General features: G+C 40.7%; 1 protein-coding gene across 4 annotated transcripts in view, besides 1 other annotated feature; it reads left to right on the top strand.

The window, feature by feature from the left end:
- Positions 1 to 12,157, top strand: part of PSMD12 (proteasome 26S subunit, non-ATPase 12) — a 28,662-nt gene that overhangs the window by 4,192 nt on the left and 12,313 nt on the right. For 2 of the 4 annotated variants that reach the window (NM_002816.5, XM_047436440.1), the window contains exons 2-4: positions 4,808 to 4,867; positions 4,955 to 5,083; positions 12,050 to 12,157. In NM_002816.5, the coding sequence (NP_002807.1) occupies positions 4,808 to 4,867; positions 4,955 to 5,083; positions 12,050 to 12,157 (297 nt within the window). Of the gene's footprint in view, positions 1 to 1,124; positions 1,292 to 4,807; positions 4,868 to 4,954; positions 5,084 to 12,049 lie in introns of all 4 variants that reach the window. The other 2 variants (NM_001316341.2, NM_174871.4) reach the window with 2 other exon arrangements.
- Positions 8,139 to 8,433: a silencer, noted in NCBI's record as "tiled region #8649; HepG2 Repressive non-DNase unmatched - State 15:Elon, and K562 Repressive non-DNase unmatched - State 17:Gen3'". NCBI's record gives its function as "represses a minimal TATA promoter and a strong SV40 promoter by Sharpr-MPRA in HepG2 and K562 cells {active_cell/tissue: HepG2 | K562}" and the evidence as "EXISTENCE:reporter gene assay evidence [ECO:0000049][PMID:27701403]".

The raw sequence follows: 12,157 nt of genomic DNA, 5'->3' as shown, positions 1-12,157 counted from the left end.
GTATAAATTAACCATTCTACCGCCTCTGTGATTGGTGTGTAAGCACCCTGTGTCGGGATGATGGGGTGTTAGTAAAAGTGATACTAGTTCTTGATGATGGTTATCTCTTTGCCTTGTATTCAGGAGTTAAAAATTAAGGAGGGCCTTTTCTGCACTGTAAAGATATGGTATTTAGCAGTTCTTAATATACTGAGGGTTTCTCATTCTCTCTTTTTGATTATGTTGTATTTGGCACATGGTTATTTGGGGACTACTTACATTCTTAAATTGAATGTATCCTTTGATTCTCCTTCCTCTTAACCCATTTGTGCTGCAGGTTGCAAAATCTTTTTTGTGAAAAATCAGATCTTGGCGATGACCTTGAGCAGTAGGATATAAATAACTCCCACAAGCTTAGCGTTCCAGTAATGGAACACTAGGCCTAAATGTTAATGTCTTCCTCTCTCTCTCCCTCCCTCCCTCCCTTCCTTCCTTCCTTTTTTTTTTTTTTTTTTTTTTTTTTTTTTTTTTTTAGATACAGGGATCTCAAACTCTTGAGCTTAAGAGATCTTCCTGCTTCAGCTTTCTGAGTAGCTGGTAGTGCACAACACTGTACCTGGCTTAATGTCTTTTCATTTCTTTTGGTCACCTTCAGCCTCTTATGGTTAATGTCAAAAAGAGCAAGTGAAATGTAAAACAGTTTACATTGTTAACAGCTTAAACAAAAGAGACCCCTTTAAGGAATAGGTCACTTTAAAAGTTGGACTATGTAGGGGGAGTATTGGACTGGCTTTAAATTTCAACTATTTGTGGTGACTTTTTTTTTAGACCGAGTTTCGCTCTTTCACCCAGGCTGGAGTGCAGAGGCATGATCTCAGCTCACTGCAACCTCCCGTTCCCGGGTTCAAGTGATTCTTGTGCCTCAGCCTCCCAAGTAGTTGGGATTACAGGTGCTTACCACCACGCCCGGCTAAATTTTGTATTTTTAGTAGAGATGGGGTTTCACCACGTTGACCAGGCTGGTCTTGAACTCCTGACCTCAAGTGATCTGCCCGTCTTGGCCTCCCAAAGTGTTGGGATTACAGGCGTGAGCCACCATGCCTGGCTGTGGTGACTTTTTATTAGCCTTTTTCTTTCTTATTTAGGTTGTGTAACAAATCATTGAAAGATTGGATTCATTCAGGAATTAAAGGAGGTGCAAACAGAACTTATACTCAACATTGATGTTGAACAAACTCATTAGTCGCTTACATCATTTACAAGGATTATTTTAATGAGGAAAATGAGTCACTGAAGTCACATGTTCTAACAGGTTGGTTTTGGATAGCTTTCTAACCATTTGTTCCTCTGAGTTGAAAGGCAGCATCAAGGAGTTGGAATTTCAGGACCTGAGTGAATAGACAGGAAAAAGAGGAGGATGTTTAGCCATAGGGTAGAATGTGGAAGATTGGGAGAAAAAAGGGGGATGATTTGAAAATTGGAAATTGTATTAAATGAAATGATGGTAGTGTCCTTCAAATAGCACTAAATTGTCAACGGTATAGTTTGTCACATCCTGCTTATTGTGACAGTAAGAATCAGGAATCGTAAGCCATTGAGATCAACTGAATACAGATCAGGTGAGTGCCAATCCATTCAACACGTATTATATGGAGGTTGGTGCAAAGAGAAGTGACAAGTAAACGAGGATCCAGCCCTAAAGGAACTTGTAGACCACTTAGGAGGTAAGCTATGTGCATCAGTAACTGATACAAGGATGGAAGGATGGACCATAGTGTCTGCAGAAGCAGTGGCATGTGCTTGGTGTGATGCAGCTCACTGAACTGCAGTGATGAACAGTATAGACATGGCATCCCTGCTCTTACAGAGTTCGCATTCTACTGAGATTGGAAAGACAGTAAACACCAAAATAGAATATAGTTTGGGGTAATTGCAGAGTAGAGTCAGTATGGTTGAGTATGAAAGGAAGAGGTACTAAGTGACTACTGATTTTTAGAGAGTGTTATCCAAAAATGCCTTTGTAAGAAAATGACGTTTAATGTTTTGTTGATACTCCAGACTGTGGCTTTAGGCCAATGTGTGATTCTCTCACATGTATGATGCAATTTAATACCCATGCTTCTGAATTAGAATACCATATATTAAACCACACTTTATTGATCACAGTCACGTGACTAATAGTAATTGCAAATGTGATGGGTGACTGTCATTAAATAGTATTTTGCATTTTAACTATTTTTGCCCTTCATTTTGTTGCCAGATAGTAACCATAGAGATGACTTTGATCAAAGCGAAAGGTGAGATTTAAACTAGTACAGTAGGGGAAGCGCTGCACTCTAGTGGAGAGAGCTTTGGAGCTTGAGGCAGGAGCCCCGGATCTAGTGCTGCTCATTTCCTTTTGTGGCTAAGCAAGTCATTTTAAGCTGTTTAGTCCTCAGTCTTTTTAATCTCTAAAATGAAATGATTGAATTAAATAATGCCTAGCCGTCTTTCTAGTTCTAAGATTCTTTCATCTTTTAGGATTTATTAGCCTTCAACTTTGGAGAATTTATAGATTTGTTCATTGTTTTTTTCCTCTGATGAACATTTAGCCAGTATTTATTATATATATAAATCTATAGAACTTTCAGAGAAAGGAGAACTAGGGCTCTCCAAACAGGAAACGTTGTTAAAATATGTTAAGAATCACATATTTCAGATTTAATTAAAATAAGTTCAGACGGGCCATGCAGTATATATGCTGTGCCGCATGGAAGATTCATGCATGTTTAAAAGCTATCTTGGAAAAATATGGCAGCAGTATTTTAAAAAGTCAAAACATTATTTATGCCCATAATTCAGAAGCTATTTAATAAGTTTCTTTCATCAGTAGAAAAGGATAGTACTCACGTATCATCCATGAATGTTATTAAGATAAAAAAAATTCATTTTTGGTTAGAAAAACAATTTTTAAACAATACTCTTCTCATTTCAATTTATTGTCAGAGATATTTACATGATAGTTATTAATATTAGCATGTTAAATAAATGCATTTTAAAAATTTTTTATCTAGAGACCAGGTCTCACTCTGTCACCCAGGCTGGAGTGCAGTGGTACATTCCTAGCTCACTGCAGCCTCAAACTCTTGCACTCAAGTGATTCTTCCGCCTCAGCCTCCTGGGTAGCTAGGACCACAGGCACAGGCTACCTTGCCCAGCTAATTTGTAAATTTTTTGTAGAGACAGGATCTGCCCCTATTTTCCATGCTGGTCTCGAATTCCTGGGCTCAAGTGTCCTCCCACCTCAGCCTCCCAAAGTGCTGGGATTACAGTGCGTGAGACACCATGCCTGGCCAATGAGTGCAGTTTTTGTGCTGTATGTTGGTTTTGGTTTTATCAAAATGTGTGGTTCCTAATAGGATAACTTGTTTTACTCCTGGTGTATTATCATTTATGTTTATATTATTTGAGTTTTATTGTTCCAATCTCTAAATATATAGCCTAGGGAGAATGTTTTATTTTTACATCTGAGTTAGAGATGTGGAGAGGTTAGTGTAAGTTGTCAGAAACTGTATTTCAGTTGAATCAGTATCTGCTCAAGAGCATGACTTTAAGGATAGCATGTGTGGGTGTTCTCAGATGCCTTCATTTCCGGTAAGCATGATTACTAATTTATTCTTAAAGTCATTGAAAAATTAAACCATAGTTTCCTGTCTTTTAGCTCCAAGCATTCTTTTTATTTCTCCTTGGAACTCTGTATTTTAAAATATCTGTTAGGGTGACGGTAACTTCATAAAGGAATCATTTATTTTCCTACTTTTTTTTTCTTTTTTTTCTTTTCTTTTTTTTTTTTTTTTTTTGAGACAGGTTCTCACTCTGTCGCCCATGCTAGAGTGCAGTGGTGCGATCTTGGCTTACTGCAGCCTTCACCTCCATGGCTCAAGCCAGCCTCCCACTTCAGCCTCCAGAGTAGCTGGGACTACAGGTATGCACCACAATGCCCAGCTAATTTTTGTATTTTTTTGTAGAGACAGGTTTCGCCATGTAGCCCAGCCTGGTCTCGAACTCCTGAGTTCAAGATATCTGCCCCCTTCGGTCTCCTAAAATGCTGTCATTACAGGCATGAGCCACTGCACCTGGCCTCTGTTTTTATTCTTTAAAGACACATGTGACTACCACTTAGAGTCTCTGATCAGAACAGGATCCACCAGATGCAGTGGCTCAGGCCTGTAATCCCAGCACTTTGGGAGGCCGAGGTGGGATGATCGCTTGAGGTCAGGAGTTCAAGACCAGCCTGGCCAACATGGTGAAAGCCCATCTCTACAAAAAACAACAAAAATTAGCCGGGTGTGGTGGGGCACTCCTGTAGTCCCACCTGCTCCGGAGGCTGAGGCATGAGAATCGCTAGAACCCGGGAGGTGGAGGTTGCAGTGAGCCGAGATGGTGCCACTGCACTTCAGCCTGGGTGAAAGAGTGAGACTCTGTCTCAAAAAAAAAAAGAACAAGATAAACAGGTGTTACCACACTGAGTTGATAAATTAGAATCCAAAACAAAGACTTGATGTTTTCTTAGGTGTTACATGATTGTTATATGTTCAGTTTCTCTTAGGCATTTAAAAATATTAAAAATAGCTTATGGGCTTCAAGTAGGGAACCACTGACTGATGGAACCCACTAGAGAAGGAAGCACTATCATGAAAAGGAGAGAAACAAAACTAGTTATGGGTAGTCCTTTTCCTCTAGAAGAGGCTGTTGATTTTTCCTTTTCTGTGTCAAAACCATTTCATTTTAGACTAGTTATTTGCATTTTGTGTGTTTTTTTATTGTTCATTTTCATCTTTTGTTTTAGGAAGGAAGACTTCAAGAAGTCATTGAAACCCTTCTCTCTCTGGAAAAGCAGACTCGTACTGTGAGTAGTTTACAGGGGAAAGCTCAGTTACCATTAATTTCATTGAACATTCTTCCATTAACTTTCAATATATTTTTACCCTTACAGGCTTCCGATATGGTATCGACATCCCGTATCTTAGTTGCAGTAGTGAAGATGTGCTATGAGGCTAAAGAATGGGATTTACTTAATGAAAATATTATGCTTTTGTCCAAAAGGCGGAGTCAGTTAAAACAAGTGAGTTCATGATCATGTCTGCTCCAAACACAAAAGCATTTGTATTTCAGAACTTTTCACAAGCTCTTCTATAAGTCTGTTTAAAATGTGTTAAGTCAACGTTGTAACATCCTAGAGGGTGTTTTAAAATTCAGTCTACATTCTCACAATGATATGACTGTTTTCTGTTTTTTCTTCTAGTCTTTATATGTTTGCATATTTTTAAAAATTGTGTTGTACTTAGAGTGTTCATACAGCTTTGTTCTATTTTGGTATTGCTACTTTTATTTTTTCCTTATTTATTTACTTATTTTGAGACAGGGTCTCACTCTGTCACCCAGGCTGGAGTGCAGTGGTATGATTACAACTGACTGCAGCCTCAACCTCCTGGGCTCAAGCAGTCTTCCCACCTCAGCCCCCAAGCAGCTGGGACTGTAAGCGCATGCCGCCACACCTGGCCAATTTTTTTATTTTTTGTAGAGATGAGGTCTCACTATATTACCCAGGCTGGTCTCAAACTCCTGGGCTCAAGTGATCCCTCTGCCTTGGCCTCTCAAAATGCTAGAATTACAGGCATGAGTCCCTGTGCCTAGCCCCACTTTTATTATTTTAAATGGTTTTGTTTTAATTTATCAAGCTGATATTCTCATTTTATTTAGTCATATCCCTTTTATTAAGCACATCTTTTTATGCTGTTTCAAAATTTTTTTTTAGTAGTAACTAAATATTTCATTTTCTTTTTTTTTTTTTTTTTTTTTTTTTTTTTGAGACGGAGTCTCGCTCTGTCGCCCAGGCTGGAGTGCAGTGGCGCGATCTCGGCTCACTGCAAGCTCCGCCTCCCGGGTTCACGCCATTCTCCTGCCTCAGCCTCCCGAGTAGCTGGGACTACAGGCGCCCGCTACCACGCCCGGCTAATTTTTTGTATTTTTAGTAGAGACGGGGTTTCACCGTGTTAGCCAGGATGGTCTCGATCTCCTGACCTCGTGATCCGCCCGCCTCGGCCTCCCAAAGTTCATTTTCTTATATTATCCCAATATATGATTTTTTTGCAAAACAGCTTTTTGAGGTATTACTGACATTCAAAAACTATGCATGTTGATAAAGATTTCTCTCCTTGACTAAACTCTCTGAGCCCTCTTCTTGACAAGTCCTTAACCTTGTCCTGTGTAGACTTAAACAAATACTAAGATTGTTTCTAACAGCTCAAGGCTGCATTTCCAGGATGACCCAACCCCCACTTAGAGTGCCTGCCTGAGAAAACTGAAGTCTGCCAAAAGAATGTACTGTTAAACATTTAATCTTGTGTGTGTGTGCGTGTGTGTGTGTGTGTGTGTGTGTGTGTGTGTGTGTGTGTAGAAATGGGGGCTTGGGTCTCACTACATTACCCAGGCTGGTCTTGAACTCCTGGGCTTAAGTGATCCTCCCACCTCAGCCTCCCAAAGTGCTGGGATTACAGGCATGAGCCACTGCACCCGGCTTCCAACTTATTTTTGAGGCCATTTTTAGAGAGACTATTTTGCTCATTTTGTTTAGAGATTATGTAAGTTCTCTTTTAGTGTTTTGGTGAAGTTGGATTTTTCTTTACTGTTTCCTTATTCTTCTTGAGATATATTTAAATGTTCCCCTGTACAAGTAGATCTCATTTTTTACATTTTTATCTCATCTTTTAAATACTGTTTCCTGAGTAGTTTCTGGGTTTTAATTTCTTGCTTTAAATAATAAAGACAATGGCATTGTAAAAGAGGATGTAATGGAACCAAAAATAGATATATAGTGTTACTGGACAAATTCCTGATTTTATTAATTAGACTGCTTCTAGGGTAAGGATAGTATTAAAGTGGGTTAAATTATTTTTTGCAGAAGTCAGTTACTGTAATTGATTTTGGTTTATTTTTCTTTAGGTAAGTTTACATGCATATAAAAGACAGTGTTGGCTCAGTGCAGTGGATCACACCTGTAATACCAGCACTTTGGGAGGCCAAGGTGGGTGGATTGCTTGAGCCCAGGAGTTCGAGACCAGTCTGGGCAATACTGTGAAACCCTGTCTATACAAAAAATACAAAAATTAGCTGAGTGTAGTGGCAGGCGCCTGTAATCCCAGCTACTTGGGAGGCTGTGGCAGGAGAATCAGTTGACTGGGGAGGCAGAGGTTGCAGTGAGCCGAGATTGTGCCATTGCTTTGCAGCCTGGGCAACAGGATGAGACTCTTGTCTCCAAAAAAAAAAAAAAAAAAACCAAAAATATGCAAGCCGATGTGAAGAATTAGTATAGATTTAATTTAATTGAGACAACCTAAAATATGTGAATGTGAAATTTATGTATGTATTTATTTATTTGAGACAGTCTTGCTCTGTCCCCCAGGCTGGAGTGCAGTGGCACCATCTCTGCTCACTGCAACCTCCGCCCCTCGGGTTTATGCACTTCTTCTGCCTGAGCCTCCCAAGTAGCTGAGATTACAGGCATGTGCCACCACACCCAGCTAATTTTTGTATTTTCAGTAGAGTCAGGGTTTCACCATGTTGCCCAGGTTGGTCTCGAACTCCTGACCTCAAGTGATCCACCCACCTCAGCTTCTCAAAGTGCTGGGATTACAGGCATGAGCCACCACACCCAGCCATGAAATTTACTTAAATGTGCCTTTTGGTGCCCAGTTCAGTGGTTTGAGAGACAATTATTAGACAAACCATCGTCTTACTCTATTTTCTAAGAAACTTACTCTCTATGGGACAATTTTGAAAGGGCTCCTTAATTAGAAGTCTTGGGGCAACCTAGGTTGAAATCAACAAAAATTTATGTTTTATGTAGTATTAGGACAATTCAAAGCACACATCTTAAACTTTAATTTCTCATGCCATAAAAACTCAGAGCTAGTAGGGGGTGTTGCTTAACGCTTACTTTTTTCTTCCCTTTTTTTTTTTTTGAAACAGTCTCTGTCGCCCAGGCTAGAGTGCAGTGGTGCAATCATAGCTCACTGCAGCCTCAATCTCATAGGCTCAAGCAGTCCTCCCCATCAGCCTCCCGAGTAGCTGGTGCTACAGGCACAAGCCATCACACCCAGTTAATTTTTGTACTTTTTGTAGAGACGGAGTCCTGCTATGTTGACCAGGCCTCTAATTCGTGAGCTTAAGCAGTCCTCCTGCCTTTGCCTTGTCTGCCAAAGTTCTGGGATTACAGGCATGAGCCACCGTGCCTGGCCCCTGGCCCTGTTAATTTCCAAATGGAGAAACGTATTTTTATGTAAAGTGCTTGGAATGTGAAGAGACATGCAGCCTATAGTTCTTGCCCTTGGCACCCTATTGGTTAGTAACGTATGTAAGTCACAAGTAATCATAGCACATCTTTAACAAGTAGTCTTAAGATTTTTTTTAATTGCTACACATACATTAGGCAATGTATAAGTGACACAAGAGTAATAGATGTACAAAGAAATGTGAAAGAAGGAAGAAAATATGTTGAGTTAGATTTATTGGGGAAGGCTTCTTGGAGAGAGAGGAATTTGAGTCTCTCTCACCGCTGGCTAGTGACAGCCAGAAGTGGAGCCAGGCATGCTCCTTTCCCTGTAACATATTATGTCTTCATAGCTATGGAAAGTTCTTAGGAAACATAAATGTCTCTGTGGCCCACAGAGTCCTCTTTTCTCATAATTATTTTTTACCTACGAAATTTATTTTTTGCTTAAGCAGACTTAGAAAGTAGCTTTAAGAAAATAAACTTTTTGGCTGGGCATGGTGGCTCACACCTGTAATCCTAGCACTTTGGGAGGTCGAGGCAGGCGGATTTCCTGAGCTCAGGAGTTTAAGACCAACCTGGGCAACATGGCGAAACCCTGTCCCTGCTAAAAATACAAAAACAATTAGCCAGGCATGGTGGCGCACATAGTCCCAGCTACTCAGAAGTCTGAGGCAGGAGAATCGCTTGAACCCCAGGAGGCGGAAGCTGCAGTGAGCCAAGATCGCACTCTAGCCTGGGCGACAGAGTGAGACTGTCTCAAAAGAAAGAGAGAGGGAGCGGGGGGAAGGAGGAAGGGAAGGAAAGGAAGGAAGGAAATAACCTTTTCTAAATTGCTTAATATGAATGGTTTATATTCATTGTCTGTCACTCGAGCCCAAGGGGTCACTCCAACTGTAACTTCCTGAATGTCTTGCATTTTTTTCAGAGAGGAGCAAGACGTTCACTTATTATTAGAATTTTTTTAATAGCTTCCCCATTGCATTGTTAGCGTATTAATGTACAGTAGTCCCCCTTTGTCCATAAGGAATATGTCCAAAAATCCTCTCTGGAGACCAGAAACCACAGATAGTACAAAACCATATATCCACTATGCTTTTTCCTTGTTGAGAACTTTCACCTTTTCATTTAAAGGAGGCACTTTATGGCTTCGCTTTGGCATATACAAATGGCCAGCATCACCACTCTTGGGTTTTGAAGCCATTGTGAAGTATAATAAGGGTTGCTTGAGCACAAGCACTGCCCTGGATACAGTGGATCACATGAGACTGAGATGGCTACTGAGTGACTAGGGTGGGTAGTGTGGAGACACTGGACCGAAGGGTGATTTGAGGGACTGCATTTGATTTCATCACTACTCAGAATGGTGTGCAGCTTAAAGCTTATAGATTGTTTATACATGGAGTTTTCCATTTAATATTTTCACACCACAGTTGACCATGGCTAACTGAAACTGGAAAGCAAAACCTTCGTAAGTGGAGACTACTGTAGTTGTTGTTTTTAACCCCATCTGATTTCTGTTAATGTATTTTTTGCACAGCTTTTAGAATTATCAAGTTGTGTGCTCTTCTAGAAATTATTATTATAATTAACTTTACAGGCATCCTATGTTTTGTGAGACACTACATGTCCTAGGGCCTTGAACTTATTGAAAGAGTTATAGTTTACAATAAAACCATAGCTTTCCAGAATGCCTGGGTCTCTAAATAGCCAGTGTTTCAGATAGTTAAAAGTTTAATACTGCTTGTTCTCATTGATAAATGGAAGTTAAACAGTAGGTGCACATGGGCATGAAGATGGTGAGACCCCTGTCTTTACAAAAAAACTTTAAAAATATTAGCTGAGTGTGGTGGCACATACCTGTAGTCCCAGCTGCCCAAGAGGCTGAGGTGGGAAGATCACATGAGCCCAGGAATTTGAGGTAGCAGTGAGCTGTGGTCATGCCAGTGCACTCCAGCCTGGGTGACAAAATGAGGCCCCATCTCTTTAAAAAAAATTTTTTTTTTTTTTTTTTTGAGAGAGATTCTCGCTCTTGTCGCCAGGCTGGAGTGCAGTGGTGCGATCTTGGCTCACTGGGTTCAAGCAATTCTCCTGTCTTAGACTCCTGAGTAGCTGGGACTACAGGCATGCACCACCACACCCGGCTAATTTTTGTATTTTTAGTAGAGACTGGGTTTTGCCATGTTGGCCAGAATGGTCTCGATCTCTTGACCTCGTGATCCGCCGGCCTCAGCCTCCCAAAGTCTGGGATTACGGGCATGAGCCACCGTACCCAGCCAAAAAAATGTTTTTAATTAAAAAAAAAAAAAGGTGGAAATAACAGACGCTGAGGACTCCAAAAGCAGGGAGGATGAAAGGAGGTGAGGGTTACCTGTGTATCCAAAATTACCTATTGGGTGCAATGTTCACTGTTTGGGTGATAGGTTCGCTAGAGGCCCATACCTCACCACTATACAATATATTCATGAAACAAACCTCCACATGTACCCCCTGAATCTAAAATAAAATAAAACCACCTCCACAACAAAAACATTTAGCCTGAGCTGCTTAAACATTAAATGTTTTTCGTGGAAATCTTTCTAAGATATTCTATTCACTTTTCTGCTGCCTTAACCAAAATATACTTAATGTAATTTAACATTTTCTTGATGACTCATGGTCCTAATTATTATTATTATTATTATTATTATTATTATTATTATTTTGAGACAAGTCTCGATCTGTCTCCCAGGCTGAAGTGCAGTGGCGCGATCTTGGCTTACTGCAAGCTCCGCCTCCCGGGTTCACACCATTCTCCTGCCTCAGCCTTCCAAGTAGCTGGAACTACAGGCATCCGCCACCACGCCTGGTTAATTTTTTTGTATTTTTAGTAGAGACGGGGTTTCACCATGTTAGCCAGGTTGGTCTCGATCTCCTGACCTTGTGACCCGCCCATCTCTGCCTCCCAGAGTGCTGGGATTACAGGTGTGAGCCACCACGCCTGACCCATGGTCCTGATTGTTAGTGATTATCATATATTGCTTAAAATCTAGATCAAACATTGGCAAATGATGGGACACAAATCAAATCCCACCCGCCTCCTATTTTTATAAATAAAGTCATTGGGACACAGCCACACTCATTTGTTTTTAAGGAGGCAGAGTTGAATAGTTGCCACAGAGACTGGCCCACAAAGTCTAAAATAACTACTTTATGAACATTTGCAAAAATTTACAGAAAATGTTTGCTGATTTGTGACCTGGATCATAGAATGTTAGTGCTGAAGGGAGTGTATTCTAGCCCCTTGATATAACCTGTGAGGAAACTGAAGGCATGAGGGTCTCTGGCTCTCAGTGTCACATGGTATTGAGGTGAATTTGGGTGACTGTGGCTCTTCCTCCCACCCGGGTGGTAGAACCGTTTCGCCTTTTGCCTCTGCCACTGCCTTTTTCCTCCTCAGTCACAGTGTCTGCAGGTCATGGCTTCAAGCCGCTGTGGACCTCTGCTTTCTCTTCCCCTAGTCAGATGCCATTTCTTCCATGTTTTCCTGCTTGGCTGCATCTCTGCATCTGAGGTTTTCCTGACCTTTACTGACTTGTTACGGGGTACTCGGTACTTTTTAGGTATCAGTGAGATTTCGATGTGATGTTCTTTATGACATTTTGGTGTCTAGAGTTACTTGGGAAGACCAAGTTCGATCATTGCTCTTTGATCAATAAAATACATTTTTTCGCTCTGTGAGGAATGTATTTTACTTATGAATGGTTTTTAATATTTTAGGCTGTTGCCAAAATGGTTCAACAGTGCTGTACTTATGTTGAGGAAATCACAGACCTTCCTATCAAACTTCGATTAATTGATACTCTACGAATGGTTACCGAAGGCAAG

The sequence above is a fragment of the Homo sapiens genome, chromosome 17, assembly GCF_000001405.40.
Source record: "Homo sapiens chromosome 17, GRCh38.p14 Primary Assembly".
Taxonomy (NCBI): Eukaryota; Metazoa; Chordata; class Mammalia; order Primates; family Hominidae; genus Homo; species Homo sapiens.
The sequence above is the reverse complement of the archived record's forward strand: the minus strand, read 5'-3'. Positions and strand labels throughout refer to the sequence as shown.